Raw genomic sequence first — 21,046 nt, 5'->3', positions numbered from 1 at the left:
AATACACTGATTAGAGGTTTAAATGAGTCAGGAAAGTTTCCGCAGAATTTGACAACATGGAGGCCACGGGGAGCCTTGACAAGATCAGTTGCAGTGCAGGGGTGGATTAGAACCAAATTCAAGTGGTCCTGTGGATATCCTCCACGTATGTGTACAGTCATGGCTGTACAGTCATGGCTTCTAAGTGATAACGTGGAGTAGAAAGAGCCCTAGACAGAGAACCAGAAATCTGGATTCCAGACACAGCTCAGCCACTAACCAGCTATTTGACCATGGATAAATCACTTACTTAACCTGTTGGGTTTAACAGTTTCTTCATCTATCAAGTGACTACACCTGCCTGGCACCTGGGGGCCCCTTTTGCTTTAAAATTCTCAGTATTTTGCTATTTTTACCAAACTTATACTGTCCTGAAACTAAGTAGGAGAGGTCATCCAGATCCCCCCAGGTCTCATTAGCATTCTTTCCTATGCCACTAAATTAAATTCTCCTTGGCTCGATTTTCATTTCGTAGTGATTATTTTATTGAAGCCCAAATCACTGTTGTGGTTGGTTTGTGCAGAAGACAGGGTGTGCAGCCCTTGCTTCTGGCATCCCAGACTCAGGCTTTTCTCTGTGAGCATCCATGGCTGATGCTTTCCACATCTCCCCTCTGAGCTGGGGCCTCTGCACCACTTCTCCTCTTGTCATTGCTCTCACTGTTCAACAACGATACAGGTTATGGGCTCCATGGTATGTGTCCAGAAAAGTTTCACGGGCCTTTTGATCCTCTAAAATGCAAAGATTTTTGCTGATCACTTCTCATTCTTGGCAGAGTCTTCTCTGAAGAGTGTTGAATATGTGCTGCCCTTTACTTCACATCATGGGCCAATCCCATTGCAAACCAGGCACTGGCCATAGGGCAAAACATGCACAAAAGGTCAGCAGCTGTCAAAGTGCTTACCTCTTATTTAGTTCAGTTGGGAGCAGGACAAGAGGGGTTAAGTTTTCAACAGGATAACATACCGTATATATCAGCACTAACAATGAGGTTTTATTTCCCTGAGTCAGCTTTAAAAATAATGTTGACTTTTATGGTCGATACATTATAGATCACCATATTTATGTCAGAACATATTGGCAGGAAAATAAATCAATGAAAATATTAATACACGAGCCTTGTGTTTAAATGAAACCCCTTGCAACTCCACACCTTCCCCTCATATTTCACTGTAAGGCTTTCAGAGACCTCCCCATTGACATGTTTTACTGAACAGGAAATCAAGGGTTATATTCATTTTCTAAAAGTACTGTTTTTAATCTGTCTTGTATATAATCGGATTCAAAAATACACACTTTGCTCTTTTACCATAATATACATAACTGCATTCCATCATTAATAGTACTGTCAATTCAAATATATGGTTTATGCATGAACAAAATATCTCAGAGCCAAAGCTCTGACTGGCATACTATTAATAAATGAAACTCTCTGTGTTGGAGGCCAGCTTCAAATATTATATTTGCTATTCACATTTGTTTTAGAGTCATGAGAAATTTCTAAGTATGTGTTTCAGAAAGCAAGTTCATAATTTAGACATTATTTAAAAACATAAAGTGAAAAAGAAAATTTGCCCTCTTGAGTGTATCTTCTCTTTCTGCTGCTCTTCCATACATGCCATGCACCTGTTACTCACAGCCCCCTTCTGAGGGGAACTATGTTTCTGAAAGACCCTAAAGACAGAGCAACCCTGAATGTTCATCTCCATCAAGTATGCACTGCTCATTAACTCCGTGAGCCACATGACACCAGCCTCTGGCCATAGTGAAGGGGCCACCCAGCCAGTTAATATGTGTGCTGACCTACTGCCTGTGAGAGGTCTGGCTGTGCTGTCCTACCCAAACAGAAATAATGCTGACTACCTGGGCCAATCAGTGTCTTGGGAAAATTTCTTTGGCTCTGCCTGCAGTTAGTAATTTGCAACAGGAGCAGAAGACAAAGGATGCTCAGAGAGAAGGCAGAGTCAGGAGAGGCAAGGAAGAAACAGGAAGTGTTTAGAAGAAAGCAATGAAATAATAGAAGAAAGATGAAGGCATTGGTTGATAGCAGCAGAAGAGTTGCTAGGGGTAGTCTTTAAGCCCTCCCTCACCCACATATTTCATTCATCACCAAGTCATATTCATTAGCCCCCTACATACCCACCTATTCCTCATCTATCTTCCAGACTAGAGCAATAGCCTCCTAATTCATCTCCCAGTGTTCCTTGCTCTCCAAACAGCAGAGTGATATTTTTTCAATATGCAAATTTGAGCAGGTTTCTCTGTTTTTCTTACACACACACACAGAGCTGGTGAGACACACACACAAACACTAAACACTTTAGTGGTCCAAATCAATTTGATCTAAAGGGGAAAGGCTTCCCTACGGTAACACAGAATATCTTTATGACCCCAAGGTAGAGAAAGATTCTTAAACCAGATACAAAAAGTAGGACCATAAAACAAAAATTGATAATTTGGACTATATTAAAATTAAGAACTTCCAATCCTCAAAAAAAAATACATATATACCATTATGCCAGAGAAAAGGTAAGGCACAGAGTAGGAAAAAAATTATTGTAATGTGTAATGTAAAGACTTTTACCCAAAATATATTTTTAAAACTCCTAGAAATCAATAACCAAAAGATAGACAAGTCAATAGAAAAAATAACAGTAAAAAGAAACTGGAAAAATCACTTCCCATGAAACTATCCAGGGCCAGATACAGCATGAACCCTTCATCTCCCATGAAGAGGCACCCAGGAGTATGTGGGGAGGGAGGGATTAATACTTCAAAGGGCAAAAGTAAAATAGGGTCCGTGACAAAGGAAATCCTCTCTCTTTAAGTGTGTCTTCTCTTTCTGATCCTCTTCTGTTCTCACAGGATGTGCCATGCACCCGCTGTCACAGCCCCCTTTGGAGGAGAACTTTCTCAAAGCCCCTGCAGGAAGAGCAGCCCTGAAGCTCATCCAGGGAGTGTGGGCCTGGCCAGAAGGAGACAGGAGCTGCTGGATAAATGCTTCCCTCTCCTGTGCCTGAGGATATGAGGCACAATCGATTCCTGAGACACAGGAGATGCAGGTTTCAGATTCTCAGAGGACCGTCCCTTGGGATTGAGCACTCAGTTGCCTTGGGTGTGGGCCAACTCAATAATGCATCTTCAAATCCTCACATTTGGTTCTCCCGCCTTCAACAGGTCATTCCCCTGTCCCTCACTCCTGCTCCCTCGGATTACACTCTCCAATAAAACGGTAGCCCATTCAGCCTTGGCTCTGCTTTCTGGGTGACTCAGGCTAAGACAGCATGGTTCTCCCTCCTCCCCAACATGTTGAGTGTCCAGAGCTGCTGTAGATTCTTCCCCCGCCAGCACCACCCTCCCACCCCAGAAATCCTATAGCAACAAGAAAGCTCTGATGGTGGGCAGCACACCAGGGTGTTAGCACTGTAAGTAGCATTTTCCAGGCAGGCTGTCAGGGGAACATGCTGCCTGAGGGTAAGACCAGATCAAAGGAGGGGTCCTGGGATACAGCCCCTACTCTGCAGATGCCTTAGGCAACTTTGCCACGACTCCTGGAGCCCCCGGCTCTGCAACTGATATCTTATCTTGCCCCAAACCAAACCAGCTTTTTACATTTCTTCATACACAGCACACAGGAAAGACTCAGTCATGATGCATTTAAAGATCTTTGATGCTAAATGAAAGTAAAAGGAAAAAGATTTTTTCAAAATCCCCTTTCAGAGTCCTGAGCCTAGAGGCAGTGATGGGCTTTCACAACTACAGGACAATATAGCTACAGCTATTTTTACCACATCATTAATTGAGTTTAAAAATTCTGATTTCAGAGTCAATTTGGGGTATCACACAAATGTACATACGGATTAAAAAGAGAAAGGTAGTAATTATTTTTCCAGAGTCACACTGATTTCAGAGCAGCCACCTTCTCTGCTGTGACAATACAAGTTTCCCAATCACTCCCTGTTTACACAAAGTTGAACTTGTGTCAGATCCTTGTAAACAGAACACAAAAATGTGCAAGCTGCTGTACAAATTAATTATTGAAATTAAGTACTCACTGTCTCTAGAAAGTCTTCTAAATTATTTAAAGAACCCAATTTGCTTTGATTGTGAAAAAATAAAAGCCCTTGGATTCCCATATTTCAGGACAATTCAAACATGGAAGAGGGGCCCAGGTACAGAGAAAATGTAAGCCTACGTTGTAAAAATATAATACAAAATCATTAAAAAGCTAACATCAGTGCCGTTTATGATCAGACTCAAGGTATATCTTAAACTGAGTATAGGGTTGCTATGTGTCTACAGCCATGCCACCTTAAATGCGCCTGATATCAGAAGCCAAGCAGGGTTGGGCCTGGTTAGTACTTGGATGGGAGAGGGGTCTCACTCTTGTCAGTTTTTATTTTAATATTATATATTATCTTTCTTTTTATTATCTCCAGATCATGCTTTTTGAGCTAGGGTTCTGTCATCTATGACAGAGGTGCTATATCTAGTGACTTGAGAGATGACTTGCTATTTTATTTCCATGTCTTTCTTCTTCCAGGTGGTGGTGACAGGCACTGGAGGGACAAGTAGGTAAGAAAACATTCCCCGGAAATCTGGGAACTTGCTGAATCTTTGCTTTGTAAAAAGTCCAGGCTTTCCCCAAATCACCACAGACATGACTTCTACTTAACCTCTCTGAACCTCAGTTTCCTCAGCTGTAAAATGGGGGAAAGGTGCCTGCCATGCCTATCTCACGGGATAGTCTGAAGAATCATCCCAACAGGCAGCTTTCAACTGGCTACACTCTATTCCTTTGTGTGAACCTAACATAGTAACTGCAGACAACAGACCAATAGGAGATTCTTTGATCGGTGGGATTTTTTTACATGTCTTCAATGAATCATATCTCTTTCACAGCTGCTATACCTGGACAAGACCCTAATTCTGGCTTCCATTTCTGGGGTTGAGGCGGGGCAGCAGGTAGCGGGAGGGATTGTAACCTGTTGGTCTTTATTGCCACCTAGTGGTCAGGTGGACAAATAACATCAAGTTATCCAGTGGATTTGAAGCACGTTAGAAAATTAATTCCAAAAAAACCACCTGCTACTTTAATCCACCACCTAATTAATTGTACACAGGGGGCCCCCCTTATATAAACCTGTTAAAAATCAAGTAATTATGCTGTGATGTAAATAAGTCCCTAGTTCATCTTTGCAAATTAAGAATTGTACATATGAATCAAGTTATTATTTTTAAAAACTTATAAAAACAAACTTTTACTGTCTGAAGGCATTTATGAGACTCCATCAAATGGTTTCATTTGTTCAAGATATTCTCCAGATGGAGATAAAATATTAAATGCTAAAGTCAACTCACAGATTTAAATCCATGTGTTCACATGGCAGAGAGAGCAAGCTTTCTGGTGTCCCTTTGTTTCTGTTTTGTTGTTGTTGTTGTTGCTGTTGTTGTTTTCCCTGAGACGGAGTCTCACTCTGTCTCCCAGGCTGGAGTCCAGTGGCACAATCTTGGCTCACTGCAACCTCTGCCTCCCGGGTTCAAGCAATTCTCCTGCCTCAACCTCCCGAGTAGCTGGGATTTCAGGCGCTCGCCAACACGCCCTGCTAATTTTTGTATTTCTAGTAATGATGGGGTTTCATCATGTTGGCCAGGCTGGTCTCGAACTCCAGACCTGAAATGATCCTCCCACCTCTACTTCCCAAAGAGCTGGGATTACAGGCATGAGCCACCGTGCCCAGCCAGTGTTCCTTTTAATAAGAACACCAATCATATCAGATTAGGCCCCATCCTTATGACCTCAGTTAACCACAATTACTTTCTTACTCCAAATACAGTCACGTTGGGGTTAGGGCTTCAACATATGAATCAGTGGTGGATAAAATTGGGTCCACAGACAGTAACAGACAGGGATAAAGTGACCCTGTCCATCCTGGGGTAGCAAAGCCACACCTGCCCTCCCACCCAGCCACATAAACCAAAGAGCTCAGGTCTCCAGGTTACCACTGTCTCTAAAAGAGGCAGAGGGAAGAGAGGGAAAGAGAAAATGTGTGGGTTCTCTCCCTCGTGGCAGCCCTGTGGGGCACTTGCCTCTCTTCTAGGTAATTCTCACAGCAGTCTCCCCAGAAAGGGATTGTCTCATTTTACAACAGCTGAGGAAATCATGGCTCAGAGATATGGTGAGCGCTTTAGAAGGCATACTTGTTCCTGGCACAGGTGGGATTTGAGCACTTCTCACTACCCCAAAACAGTCCTTTGAAGGGCATTAGCCCATGGGCCAGATCAGAGTACTGCCTACTAGACTAGGGGTCCTAATAGGCCCTAGAGGATTCTCTGACCCTCAATCTCCTCATCATAAAACAGGGGTAATAATGTTTTGCTCACAAGGTTGTTCTGAGGATTAAGTAAGATCATGTGGGTGGACTGCCAGACCCAAGCCAGTGCTAAATCATGGTGGATTCCCGCCTCGGCTTCCCTCCAAGAGCCAACACGGAGATGGGAAGGCAGCTTCACCAGAAATTACTAAGCATTTTCCAGCCCCCCAGATGAACAAATTATAGGGTACAAAATGAATGAAAACAGCTTTTTTACTCGCCCAGCCATAAAAACTTTGCTCTCCAGATTTTAAAGCCAGGGAGCAGGGTGGTGAGCCCCTCAGCAGGCTGAGGCATGGAAAGCCACCGTCCCCTGCACCAACCTCATGGAGAGCCACTGTCCCCCGCACCAACCTCAGAACTCCAGTCCTCAGCCTGGTGCTCACCTCAGACCCTCACCACCCACACAGTCATCAACATTGTAGAGCTCAGACACACCCTCAACTCATCTGGCTCATGCCTCACATCCAATGAGGCCCGTCACTCCTGCCTCAGCAGCATCTCCTGCTCTGCATCCACCCTGCATGGGCTTGCTTGGGATGCTGGTCATTTGTCACCTGCGTGCACTTCAACAGCCCCACACTGGTCTGACCAGTCACTCTCTCTGTTCCAGGCCCAGGACCATATTGCCATCTATACTTCCTATACAGATACAGGAGAGGGGATTTGCTATGGGAGTTGGCTTGAGCAGTTATGGGGCCGAGAAGTCCGACGATATGCCATCTGCCAGCGGGGGAAGCAGGGATGCCGGCGGTGTGGCACATTCTGAGTCAAAAGGCCTCAGAATCAGGGGATCCAATGGTGTAACTGTCTGAGGCTGAAGGCCTGAGAACCCAGAGGGCAGATGGTGCAGGTCCCAGAGTCCAAATGCCAGTGAACCTGGAGTTCTGATGTCCAAGGGCAGGAGAAGAGTGTCCCAGCTCCAGCAGAAACAGTGAATATGCTTTTCCTCTGCCTTTTTTTTCTATCCAGGCCCTCAACCTGATTGGATGGTGCCCGCTCACACTGGGTGAGGGTGGCTCTTCCTTACTCGGTCCACTGACTCACAGGCTAATCTCTGTCAGAAACACCTTCAAAGGCATACCCAGAAATAACACTTTACCAGCTACCTGGGTATCCCTTAACCCGGTCAAGTTGATACCTGAAACTAACCATCACAGTAGCCATATTCCATCACTGTCCTGCTAAGACATCCTCCTTACAGCGGCTGACTCTCCTGCCCTCCCTGGACACACTGTGCCCTTTCGGCTTCCATTCCCTTGGGTGTGCAGTCCCCCTACCCAATGCCTCTCACCCGTCTCTGCTAGCAAGCTCATGTTTCTTCTCCCAAGCAGTTCAAATGCTGCCTATTCTAAGAAGCCTGCCCTCAATTCCCTCAGGGGAGAATTGGCTGTATCCTGCTGATTTTCACAGCACTTTGTTGACCATTTTTCACATCATTTTACAATCAGCTGTATCCATTTATGTCTTCCCCCACCAGACTGTGAGTTCCTGGAAAGCAAGAGCTGTGTCTTATTCATCTTCATGTTCCCAGTGCCTGACTCAACAAATGCTCAATAAATGTTGATTGACAGAGTTAATTAAGTCTCTGTTTCTTTGGTTCTGTCTATACCATAGTTTGCAGGCAACACTCAACTTATCCCCAAAATTACCTAACTTATGCTTTTCTCTCTTCCCTTGTTTTAACCTGTCTTTCTAAATATTAAGTTTCTAGTATGAAGCCCCAGAATTAAACATCTTTCAGTTCCCGTGGGCTCCATGCTGATTGGCTGGCCCACACACTGGCACCCCTTCAGGCTCTGCACACGGCTTCCTTAGCTACTTGGGCCCACCTATTGCATCTACTTTGTCAGCAAGGAAGGAATAAGGAAGAAGCTGCACCTGGCTTCATGGCTCAGATTTGTTTTCTTGGATGCTCAGATGCTAAGATGGTTAATAAGCAAATCAGCCCCAGTATTCAAATACTCAGTTAAGAAATCCTGAAAGAGATACAAATCAAAATCCTCCAGCAGAGCCTGTAGGCAAAACCTGGGCTTTCCCTAATCCTCTCTAATCCCCAAGGGTCACTTGCTACTCTACTATGGCCTATGTGGTTAGGACCAAATTGTGGGCAGTTTCGGCCCCTGGGAATATACCTGCTTTTCTGGCTAGAATACCTCCCCTTGGAGATTTTCTGACTCTATGCAATGGATTCTAGCAGGAGGAGACACAGAGCTGGAGGTTCTGAGTACCCTGTTTAAATGACAGTGTCATCCCACCACCATTTCTATCACAACCCAGCCTAGAGTAGACAGCATACAAGTCCATGTAAGGCCAACCCTTTGGACCTGGTAAGTCTAGACGCCCAGCTTTGGAAGATTATTTGGCCCTTGTTGAATACTCTATTTTCCTGGGGTTGGTCTCTTTTAAACAAGGCCTCTGACTAGACTTTGGGGGACAAAGTTGAATGCCGGGTTGGGGCAGAGGCTGATGCCATGCTGAGGTCATGATGTTATGCTGTCCATTTTGCTTCCTTCCAGGGGAAGCAGAAGCGGGAGCCGTCGTGGAGCTCTGCTCCTGGAGGGAGCCTCCCGGGACATGGAGAAGGTGGACATGAATACATCACAGGAACAAGGTCTCTGCCAGTTCTCAGAGAAGTACAAGCAAGTCTACCTCTCCCTGGCCTACAGTATCATCTTTATCCTAGGGCTGCCACTAAATGGCACTGTCTTGTGGCACTCCTGGGGCCAAACCAAGCGCTGGAGCTGTGCCACCACCTATCTGGTGAACCTGATGGTGGCCGACCTGCTTTATGTGCTATTGCCCTTCCTCATCATCACCTACTCACTAGATGACAGGTGGCCCTTCGGGGAGCTGCTCTGCAAGCTGGTGCACTTCCTGTTCTATATCAACCTTTACGGCAGCATCCTGCTGCTGACCTGCATCTCTGTGCACCAGTTCCTAGGTGTGTGCCACCCACTGTGTTCGCTGCCCTACCGGACCCGCAGGCATGCCTGGCTGGGCACCAGCACCACCTGGGCCCTGGTGGTCCTCCAGCTGCTGCCCACACTGGCCTTCTCCCACACGGACTACATCAATGGCCAGATGATCTGGTATGACATGACCAGCCAAGAGAATTTTGATCGGCTTTTTGCCTACGGCATAGTTCTGACATTGTCTGGCTTTCTTTCCCTCCTTGGTCATTTTGGTGTGCTATTCACTGATGGTCAGGAGCCTGATCAAGCCAGAGGAGAACCTCATGAGGACAGGCAACACAGCCCGAGCCAGGTCCATCCGGACCATCCTACTGGTGTGTGGCCTCTTCACCCTCTGTTTTGTGCCCTTCCATATCACTCGCTCCTTCTACCTCACCATCTGCTTTCTGCTTTCTCAGGACTGCCAGCTCTTGATGGCAGCCAGTGTGGCCTACAAGATATGGAGGCCTCTGGTGAGTGTGAGCAGCTGCCTCAACCCAGTCCTGTACTTTCTTTCAAGGGGGGCAAAAATAGAGTCAGGCTCCTCCAGAAACTGAGGCAGAACAAGTTGGGTGAGCATCCAGCTGGGAGGAAGAGATGCCCAGGGTTGAACAGATCTGGGTAATGCCAAGGTGAAGCTTGGGAAAAACGAGCTCCAACACCACTAGCAACAACTTGTTTGTACACAGATGAGTGCTGGTGGGAGAGGGGCTCAAGACCTCCTAAAAGTGTCCTGCTGCAAAGGACACTTTTATATTGATGTTAAGTGAGTTTAAAATAAGAGTATGGAGAGAGCCACTAAAACAAAGGAAAACTTTCTTAAAGAGAGCTGACATTGGTCTCTTGTCATTCAGGTCTCAGCTCAAATGTCACCTTCTCAGAGACCACTCCTGCCCACCCTAGCTAATGTTGACCTCTCTCCTCATAACCCAATCACTGTATTCCCTTATATATTGTCTTTGCAACATTTATTACTATCTGGACTTGGTGATTCATTTACTTATTTATGATCTCTTTCCACTGAATTATATGCTCCAATAGGACAGAGATCTCCTCTGATGGCTGACCCCTCAATACCAGCCTCCATAGCAGGGCCTGGCACATAGTAAGGGCACAACAGATAGGGGCTGAATGAATGAGTGAGCAAATGGACCTGTAAATGAAACCCTTACTATGAAAGAGCACCTTTGCATGGAGGAACTCATTTAACCCTCACAATAATCCCTTGTGGTGGAGGCCATTGTTTCCTCCATTTACAGAGAAGGAAACTGACACGCACAGCTCAAAGTAACTTGTTCAGGCTTACCCAGTGGGAGAATGCCCAGATCATAGGGTTGAATGGAGCTTTCAAAGCCAGGCAGTGGCCTCTGAAGCACATGCTCCTAAGCGTGAAAGCTATGCCCCCATCCAAACACCAGCCTAGAGCTGGCCCAAGTTCTCCTTGACAATATCGGCTTGTCATTTTAGGCCGGCTCGCTTGTTGACACAGTTGCTGTTATCTGCAGAACACTGAGGAGACCTTGTGTGGTCTTTTACTACATTTCTTAACCAGTGTTTTTGTTAGTAAAAGCTATGCAGGATAAAATGGGAGATACAGAGTAAAGTGGCTTCAAGAAAACTGATTCGCTTCATTTTTATTTAAATTTAAACATGATGTTGGAGATTATGAAAAAAAACTTCATCAATGTCTTAAGTCATAATGATGTTTATTCCCTAAAAAGACTTTTTTTAGTTAAGATGCAAGGTAATCCAAAAAGATAACCTTAAAAAAAACCTCTCATTTATAACAATAATGATTTCCAAGGATTTCTCAGGTCTATACATAACATTATCTAGGCTGGGCACAGTGGCTCATGCCTGTAATCCCAGCACTTTGGGAGGCCAAGGCGGGCGGATCACCTGAGGTCAGGAGTTCGAGACCAATCTGGCCAACATGGTGAAACCCCATCTCTACTAAAAATACAAAAATTAGCTGGGCGTGGTGGCGGGTGCCTATAATCCCAGCTACTCGGGAGGCTGAGAAAGGAGAATCGCTTGAACCCGGGAGGCGGAGGTTGCAGTGAGCTGAAACTACGCCACTGCACTCCAGCCTGGGCAACAAGAGCGAAACTCTTAAAAAAAAAATTATCTAATAATTCACTAATCTCCCTATGAAGAGAAGGTGGTTAAATTCTTTTTATAAGAAACAAGCATAACCCCTCATTACTATCTCACTCCAATTATGGGAAATGTCTGAGTAAACCATGTATATGCCTACATTATAACATTTTATTCTAAAAGTACAGTTTATTGCTTTCAAGGACACACAATAATTAGAACTGGACTAAGTGTTGCTTAGCAGAATTCCTCAGGATAATTGGTTTAATGAATAGGCAAGGATGTTTTCTAATTAGCAGGTCAGCTGTTTCCACATAAATAAATGTTTCTATAGGAGCTGAGAGAGCTTAAAATGTTTGCTCTTTTGAACATTCTCTCAGCTCTCTGGCTCATATCATTAATTTCTGGCCCTTTCTTTGCATAACACATAGGCAAGTTTCAGCTGAGTTACAGTTTTGATTATCACCCCTTACAAATTAATAAGGTTTCACGTTACTGGAGAAACCGGTGCACCAGGCTCCCCCAGGAAAGGCTTGGAGCCAGCCCATATGCCATAAAGCCACTAGCTCTATGCCCATCAGCCTTTCAACCCTGGAAGTGGAAAGAAAACTAATGCAGAATCCTCAGGATGCACTGTCTTTTCTAAAAAGAAAGTACATTACACTCCTAGCCAAAGATTTCCTGCCTTTAATTTCTTGTTAACCTATGTGCTTGCAATTATTTCTCTGATCCATATAAGGCTAAATTGCTCTGCAGTTTTTTGACCTACTTAACAGCAAAGTATAAACATCCATTTTTAACTTATTTCTGGACAGTTAGGATCAAAAAAGTTTAACTGAGTTGACATCATATCCTGGGTTTTCAGGGACAATTATCTCAAGAGACTAGGATCAAACTAGGCTATTCCCTTCAGGAAAAGGACCCCATTGTAAGTAGAACTAGGAATCCACTGTGGAACCTGAGGCAAGACGATATTCATCACTTCCTTTGTGATTAGAGAAAACTCACCTATAAAAGGGGATAAGAAAACCAGGGGAAAAAAATGTCCTTCCTGAATTTACCCATTCAATGCCCTCCACCCTGGGGAAAGTTGGGATCCTCAAATCCGTTATCCCCCTGGGGCCCTCAGAATCTTCCCTAATCTTCCTGATTGTTTGGACAGGTTAAAACAGAACCGAAGGTCAGCAAATACTATGATGTTCAAAATACAGTCACTGGAGCTAGTATTTTCATATTGGATGAAAATATGATGGCTATAGCAAGCTACAAAAGTGTCAAACACAATCCCAACCCTTAAGGAAGTTATAGACTGTTGGAGAAGCAAAATATAAAAACATACAAACAACAATATGGGTACTAACAGCTTAAGCAGCTACAGAAGAAATTATGTCAGTTGTTGATTATCAAAATGAATAATACAGGCAGTAAGCGTTAGAGGAGTTTCAAAGGGGACTGAGAGCACTCAGGCTGAGAGAGCCATGAAGAGCCTATGAGTACACTGAAGGCTGGGAGAAATTTCAACCAGGAGAATGTCCCAAGCAGTGGAGAAAATGGAAAGAGAGATCACTGTGAGCAAATTTAATTTGTGTGAAAGTCATTGGTTGGTTCCTGAAGGTGAGGAGTTGGAGACAATGCTGGAAGGGCAGGCTGACATGTGATGATGAAGCCCCCCTAATGCCAGTGAAAGAACCACTTCTCATGCCAGGAGGAATCACCAACGGCATTTCAGCAGAAGTGCAGTATGATCAAAGTCATGATTTAGAAACTTAATCTGGCAGCTCCCCCATGTTTTGAATGAATTAAAGAAAATGTCACAGCTTAGACTCCTTCAAAGTCTCCATATTGACCTCCCTTCCCTTCACAGCATCTCCAGATTTTCTTTAGAACAGTATTTTCCATACATCCCATCCTCCCCAATTGTCCACTCTCCCCTGTATCTTCACTTCCACAGAATAAAGCCCAGCTCCCTCACGCTGACATGCTAGCCATGTCACAGTCTAGTCCCAGCTGAACTCTTCAACTCATGGCTCTCTCACCACACCCTGTGGCTTCCCACCTCTCTCACATTTGCCACGGGCCTGTCATCTACCTCTTTATAATCCCTGACAAAGCCTTCTCCAAATGCCTACGTTCCCACCTTCCACAGGCCATGGGCTTGGCATCCTCCAATTGCCTCAGACCTCTGCACTGCTGACTCTCCCATGGGGCTTATTGCCTTGAAGTTGACATGGGCTCCTTTATCATTTCAGGTCTGTTTTATCTCCCTCACAACTCCATTTTTCAACCCATAGAACATGGTATCCCAGCAACATTGCAAGTGTGGTAGACAGTGGGCACAGGTGATGTCAATCATGAAAAGAAAGATGATCAATATTTAGAAGACCACTGCAGGGATCCAAGAATGCATTTAACAGGCAGGCTAAGGTGGCATAAGGAGAACTAAAATTTTTAAACGTATTGGAAAAAACAGAAATAAAAGGATTAAACACGGCTGGTAGGGAGACATAACAAAAACTACTCTGAGACTCTGAGCCACGGGAATCAGAAGAATGATCAACTAGCACCTAGCACTCAGTGGGTGGGCAAGGGAGGAAGGGAGGGAGGGGACTGTGTGCTGTTAGGGAGAGCTCAGATTTAGACAAGCTACTGTTAGCTGCTAGTGAGACCTCAAGTTGGAAATGCAGGGTGGAGGTTGAGAGAGAACCGAATCTCAAGCTCTGGGTTTGGGGCCAACTGGGTGGGCAAATATACAGAGCTGAATCAGAAAATGGTATCTCTGAGAGAGAAGTGAAGAAAAAGAACAGAGGACCTAGGATACACAGGAATCATAGAAAGCATGACAGAGTGGAGGACAGGAGTTGCTCTCGGATAACAGAGCATCAGAAAATCAAGTAAGTAAACAGGGTCAAGACACAGAGAAGTCAAGGGTGTTAACATGAAACAAACTAGTCAAAGAGAATGAACAGTTGTAACAGTTGTCTGTCTCTCAGCAAACAGCTCAAATGCCACCTCTTCCGAGAAGCCTCCCTGGATCACTCATCAGAAGGCCCTCTCTTCTCTGAACATCCTCCACACCTCTCTTAGCACATCTCCCCTTCTGCAAAGTATGAGGGGCATTATTTAAATCCTTTTATCTCCCTCACCCCGAGATCTAGCAGAGGCTTGAGCATATGGGTGCTCACTAAAACACTGAGGAATAAATGAATACATAACAAATGCTTCTCCTGTGTGTGCTTTTCTGGAATTACTGAAAAATCCAATTTATGAATGTGTGCCTATAAAACTAAATCACAAGTTCTTTGGGATTTATTTGTTCTAACACCCACCGACTTCAATTCAAAGCAGTCCCAGGATACACAACCTGCAAGCATTCTCACTTTTTCCTTTTATCCCATATTTCAAAGGCAATAAAAAGGGGAAAGTTTTTAATTGCTTGCAATTAAGCATAACCTGAGCTTATAAAGTTACATAGTCTCATTATCTTTTACTTTCCTATAAACAAGCTAAATCTCTTTAGTATTTGTACTTCCCAACTTTTTGTTTTGTTGAGGATTTTTTTTGTTAACGTATCAAACAACTTCAAAGGTAATGGCCTCAAAAAGAATTCCATGATAAGAAGCCAAACTTATGTTCTTGCAGCAAGCTGTAGCTGGGCATTTTTATAGTGGTTAAATCATGAACAAAAAGCAAAGAGTGCCACTTCAGGAAAATTAAAGAATCGCAGAGTCTGAGAATGTTCTACTCTGCAAGTAGAAAAACACATTAATAAAGAGGACTTTATAAAGCATTAACCCGACAGTCAAAGCAGCAGCCTCTGAAGACCTTCTTACACTCTCTTCTTTTATAGCCTAGTTTCTTGCAAGGGCAGGCTACAATTTTTACTGTAATTTCTACCTTGAATTCATACTCCAAATCATTATACCCTGGCTGCTGCCTACCCCGCCACCTCAGTCCACTGAAATTCCTCTCAAAAAAAACTAATGACTTCCCAGTTACAAGTTAAACAGACACTGTCAGCCCCTATCCTCTCTACCTTTCTTGGCATTTGACACTGTCACTCACTCCGTTTGTTTGTTTGTTTGTTTGTTTGTTTTTGAGACGGAGTTTCACTCTTGTCACCCAGGCTGCAGTGCAATGGCACAATCTTGGCTCACTGCAACCTCCACCTCCCGGGTTCAAGCAATTCTCCTGCCTCAGCCTCCCGAGTAGCTGGGATGACAGGCGCTCGCTACCACGCCCAGCTAATTTTTGTATTTTTAGTAGAGATGGGGTTTCACCATATTGGCCAGGCTGGTCTCAAACTCCTGACCTCAGGTGATCCACCCGCCTCGGCCTCCCAAAGTGCTGGGTTTACAGGCATGAGCCACCACGCCCGGCCCACTCACTCCCTCTTAAAACCTCTTTAGCTTCCATAGACTGCATCTCTCCCTGCTCACACCGGGTGAGTGGATGTGACCCAGGACTCTGTCCTTGGCCCTCTTATCTTATCCCACATTCTTTCTGAGCAATCTCACTGACTCCCCGATGGCTCCCAAATCACACCCCAGAGCAATCCTCTCTCACATTTTGAACCCATGTTCCTGTTCATACAAATCTCGGGCACCGCAAGCTCCGCAATGCCAAAACTAAACTCATTTTCCTCCCAACCCTGCACCTTCTCACCTGCGGTCTTGATGGCTGAATGGCACCAATGTCCACCCTAGGCAGGAGTCTGGGAGTCGTCCTTAACTCTGGCCTCTCCCCGACCTCACATCCAGCAAATGACCACCTGTCAGTTCAACCTCCCAAGCACCATAAGCACCTGTCCCTCCTTTCCATCTTCACTACCACTGCCTTAATTCAAGGCCCATCATGTCTCCAGCTTCAATGCTCCAACCTATTAACCATTCTCCTGCCTCCAAATTTGTTCCCCTCAACCCCCAATCCATTCCATTCCTACTGCTTAAAGGGTCACCTTTCTAAAATTCAAATCCTACCTTGAGAATCACCAGCATTAATATCTTCCAGAAGCTCAAAAGATTATGATCACAATCCTGAACATCGAAGAAACAGACTTCAGTGATCTGCCTTGCACAACTAAATTCCCCACATGTCACTTTCATTTCATTTCCATTCACCAGCAGCCTCTCTCAGGATTAGCTCTGGGACGTCTTCTCCTCCTCCCTCCCATCCTGCACCTTCTCAGCTTTAGATGAGCTATCCTACTCACCCTTTACAATGCAGCTCAAAGATCACCTCCTCTTCAAATCATGCAGGTGTCCTAGGTTCTCTGAACCTTATTAAGTCTTGTCATTGCTCTGACAGCCCTCATCACGCTGTATCAGAGTCACTGAATCACTGATCCTCTGTCTATTTCCCCACTCATTCATGAGACCCTTGAGCAAGGTGGTCCACGCTTTCCACATCTCTGAGTTGCCAGGTCTAGCAAAGAGCCTCGGAGTCAATGATGCCAGACACGAAGACCCAGAAGCCCATGAACATCTTACTCAGGAAGCAACATGACATTGCCACAAGCATCATGCTTGGTTTTCCCCACTACTGTACTTCTTTGAATCATGAAATGCGAACAAAGATAAGACACATCCCAATTTCAGAAATGTTAAAAGGTGAAAAATTGTCTACGAAACATACTAAGTAGCATGATCATAAAACCTTACGTACTTAGTCATTAGACTCAAAAAGCATTTTAAAAATCTAAGTGCTGACAAATAAACTAGAACTTTCTAAGATAATTCAAATATTTCCACATGAAAAGAATACATACATTATCTTAAAAGGCAATTATAATATTTTTCCTTTGAAACATTAAGGAACTATTTGTTCTGCATCCTAATTGTGGTGTCATAGCACAAATCTCTATTAAAATTCACAGAATTCTAAAAAAAAAATAGAAGTCATGGAAAACATTTTTTTTTTTTTTTTTTTTTTTTTTTTGAGACGGAGTCTCGCTCTGTCGCCCAGGCTGGAGTGCAGTGGCGGGATCTCGGCTCACTGCAAGCTCCACCTCCCGGGTTCACGCCATTCTCCTGCCTCAGCCTCCCAAGTAGCTGGGACTACAGGCGCCCGCCACTACGCCCGGCTAATTTTTTGTATTTTTAGTAGAGACGGGGTTTCACCGTTTTAGCCGGGATGGTCTCGATCTCCTGACCTTGTGATCCGCCCGCCTCAGCCTCCCAAAGTGCTGGGATTACAGGCGTGAGCCACCGCGCCCGGCCGGAAAACATTTTAAGAGATAATATGATTGTCCTCAGGCCCATTCCCTGTACCTTCCCATCCACTAAGCCTGGCCTCTACCTCCATGGACCCTGCCAGAGCCGGAAGAGGACTCTTACCTTCCCTCTAACACTTACCTCATAGGCATGACTCTAAAATCCTGGGATGACCTGCTGCCAGGCCCACCTTCCTACTACCTCCAGCCATTTTCTCTTCCCAGTTCTTGAACCCTGTTGCTTCCAGCTCCAGCCCAGCCTCTCTCTCATCCTCCTCCCACCCACTCTATCCACTGTCCATCTCTTGTTCACTTTACCCTGTGAAATCTGAGCTCTACTGGGCTGGAGGTGGGGGTTTCCCATTTGTCGTGAAATTTTTCGTTACCTCTTCCCCAGGACAGACAGGGTTGGCTTCCAAAGGTTAAAAACTATCTGAACATGGTAAGACATAGAACCCCCACAATAATCGGATTTTCCTTGGAAAACTGAACAAGCCTCAATATTGGCGGGAGGGAGCAAGACTTGCAAGAAGTTAGCCCACACTTTCAGCTGTTTGGGATAACTCATTGACTTTTAGAAATTCCAGAGGGCATTCTGTTGCCCCTCCAGGGTGCTTCATTTACTTACCACAGTAATGTGAATGCAATCCAGGAAGGCCCAGCTTGCCCAACCCATCAACTACACAAGGTATGGAGAGATAAATTTGTAGATGTTTTAGGTCATCCACCAATACACATCTAACATATATTAGCCATATCCTTATGTCTCATAAATTAAGAATGAGAGTGCTATAGAAGGAACTCTAGTGATCTTCTATTTTGCTAATAAGAAAATGGAAACACAAAAGCTACTACGTGGTAAAACTTGGAAGACACACACCGAAGGTGATCCTCTTCAAAAAGACAAAATGACAAATGCCTACAAGTACATGATAATCTGAAATGAAATGCCCTGTAGGTCCACTGATTTGCATTACACAATAAATCTGCCAAATCTACAAGGGGAAGATCAGTTTTGGGAATACAGTGGATTACTGTAGCAGGCAGCTGCCAGAACCTGGAACTGATAAAGATCCACTGAAGAAAAGATATGTGCACAGGAATGCATGACCATATACACTAATATACTTGAGAGAAATAAATGTTAATAAGTTATACTAAGTTTGGCTGTCTGGCCTACACGATGTCAGGGCTTTTTAGTATTTCTTACAAAAACTCAAAGCTTTCTTCCATGAACTTTTTGGCAGCAAATCACTGCTGAAGGCTTACAACCAAATCCCCACTGGGGCACTCAGGAACACTCAAATGGAAGAGGGCAAAGGATATGAGGCTGCAGTTGAGGCCTTCCAGATATCATGAGCAGCATGCACACAAGTTGGAGCTGTTGTTTGCTACCAGTGAATACTAGGACTAAAAAATAAAGGCATTGTTTCGTTTATCCTTGACACCATTCTTTTCCATTTTGTCTCTGAAAATTCCCTTTACGTGCAATTTTATTCCTGGCAATGCAAATTTGATTTCTAACTCATGGCACTGTTGAACTCCCATCTTCACCCCCAGAGTTCTTTGAAAAACACTACCTGTTCCTTTCCTCCCTTCTGAACATTATCACTTTAAAACAGCAGGACTCAAACTTGCATTGAACTATATTCTTTGTGGGGTTTTTAAAACCTTCATTACACAATAAAGAGCTATTGTGAAAAAAAATCAGAAAACATAAATAAGCCAATAGAAATTCATCATTCAGAGACACTGGTGTACATATCATGCAGATATATTTGTTTTTATAAAAATGGCACCACTATGAATCTTCCGTGTGAAAATGTCATCAACATTATTCCATGTCAATATGTTCTCTAACAAAACCATTTAATGACTACTTAATATTTCACTTTAGGTATGTAATATGATGTACTTAACAAATCCCCTATTATTGTAAATTAGAGTGGCTTTCTATTATACTTTAGGCTATTATAAAATCTGGCAGTGAAGACGCTTTCTTAAAATATATTTACATGTATATTTGTCTGATGGTTTCTTTAGGACAAGTTATTAGAAATGGAATTGCTAAGCCAAAAGGCATTTAGCCCACCACCATCCCCCTTTTAGGTCTTTTTATTCATATTGCCAATTCATCCTCCAAAAGGGTTATTCTAATTTACTCTTTTTATATATCATTCAAAAAAATATTTATTTTGTGCCTACTTTTGCTAGGCACTATCAATATAATCATCGATAACAAAACGGACGCAGTCCCTGCCCTCAAGGAGCTTCCAATTTAAGGAAGAGAGAGACACCCACACCCACATTATCAGAGATTCTTCATTATTTTAAGTTGAGGTAAGCTAAAAAGGAAAACTGCAAGATCACAGCAACTTAGAAGAACCCAATACACCCTGAAGGATCTGGAAGAGCTTCCATGAGGAAGAATGGTTCTGGGCTGGGGGCTAAGGTTTTCTGGTATAAATCAGGTAAAAACAGGTTCTAGAGAGCCTTGGAGAAAACATTCTAAGCAAAGGGAACAGTGTGGACAAAGCCGCTGGGAGGGAAAGGAACACAACCCATTTGAAAACATGTAAGCAGCTCACTGTGGCTGGGGCACAGAGGCGGTGGAGAGACAAGGCAAGAGGCCAGGCCACATGGGCCTTCCAGCAGAAGTAGTGTGGACTTCCTGCACTCTCCCCCACTTGTGAGGTATTCAACACCCATGTGCTGAAACAGTCATATGGCGTCAGAGCCTAAAGAACTAACAACTCAATAATGACACATGTATTAGTCAGTTCTCACACTGCCATAAAGATACTACCTGAGACTGGGTAATTTGTAAATTACAGGGGTTTAACTGACTCACACTTCCATATGGCTGGGAGGCCTCAGGAAACTTAAAATCATGGAAGAAGGCAAAGGCGAAGCAAGGCACATCTTACATGGTGGTAGGAGAGAGAGAGAGAGTGTGAAGGGGAAGTGCCACACTTTTAAACCATGAGATCTCATGAGAATTCCCTCACTATCACAAGAACAGCATAGGAGAAACTGCCCCCATGATCCAGTCACCTCCCACCAGGTCCCTCCCTCAAACACATAGGGATTACAATTCGAGATGAGATTTGGGTAGGGACACAGAGACAAGTCATATCAACACAATAAACTGTAAGTCAGAAAAACAGATGTAAATAAAGCTGCCAAGCTACCTTGCATAAGGAACGTACTTTCAATCTGTTCCCAAACATTTACACTTACAATATCATGCCATGTGCTTTAAACAATATAATCAGCTAAATACATTGGTTTAATATCTTGTCTAAAATATCTGCATTCTTTGACTTTAACAAATAATATGTTAAGGCTGAAAAATATTAAAAAGTATTTAAAGT

General features: G+C 43.9%; 1 pseudogene, besides 4 other annotated features; it reads left to right on the top strand.

Annotated features, from left to right (window-relative positions):
• Positions 3,373 to 3,442: an enhancer, noted in NCBI's record as "active region_20752". NCBI's record gives its function as "activates an Ori minimal core promoter by ATAC-STARR-seq in GM12878 lymphoblastoid cells {active_cell/tissue: GM12878}" and the evidence as "EXISTENCE:reporter gene assay evidence [ECO:0000049][PMID:35858748]".
• Positions 3,613 to 3,662: an enhancer, noted in NCBI's record as "active region_20751". NCBI's record gives its function as "activates an Ori minimal core promoter by ATAC-STARR-seq in GM12878 lymphoblastoid cells {active_cell/tissue: GM12878}" and the evidence as "EXISTENCE:reporter gene assay evidence [ECO:0000049][PMID:35858748]".
• Positions 4,817 to 5,111: an enhancer, noted in NCBI's record as "tiled region #7446; K562 Activating non-DNase unmatched - State 13:Ctcf". NCBI's record gives its function as "activates a minimal TATA promoter and a strong SV40 promoter by Sharpr-MPRA in K562 cells {active_cell/tissue: K562}" and the evidence as "EXISTENCE:reporter gene assay evidence [ECO:0000049][PMID:27701403]".
• GPR79 (G protein-coupled receptor 79 (pseudogene)) lies at positions 8,907 to 9,924 on the top strand (annotated as a pseudogene).
• Positions 10,765 to 10,965: a silencer, noted in NCBI's record as "peak4881 fragment used in MPRA reporter construct". NCBI's record gives its function as "represses an SCP1 promoter by STARR-seq MPRAs in K562 erythroleukemia cells {active_cell/tissue: K562}" and the evidence as "EXISTENCE:reporter gene assay evidence [ECO:0000049][PMID:32103011]".

Source organism: Homo sapiens, chromosome 3 (assembly GCF_000001405.40).
Source record: "Homo sapiens chromosome 3, GRCh38.p14 Primary Assembly".
Classification (NCBI taxonomy): Eukaryota; Metazoa; Chordata; class Mammalia; order Primates; family Hominidae; genus Homo; species Homo sapiens.
The sequence above is the reverse complement of the archived record's forward strand: the minus strand, read 5'-3'. Positions and strand labels throughout refer to the sequence as shown.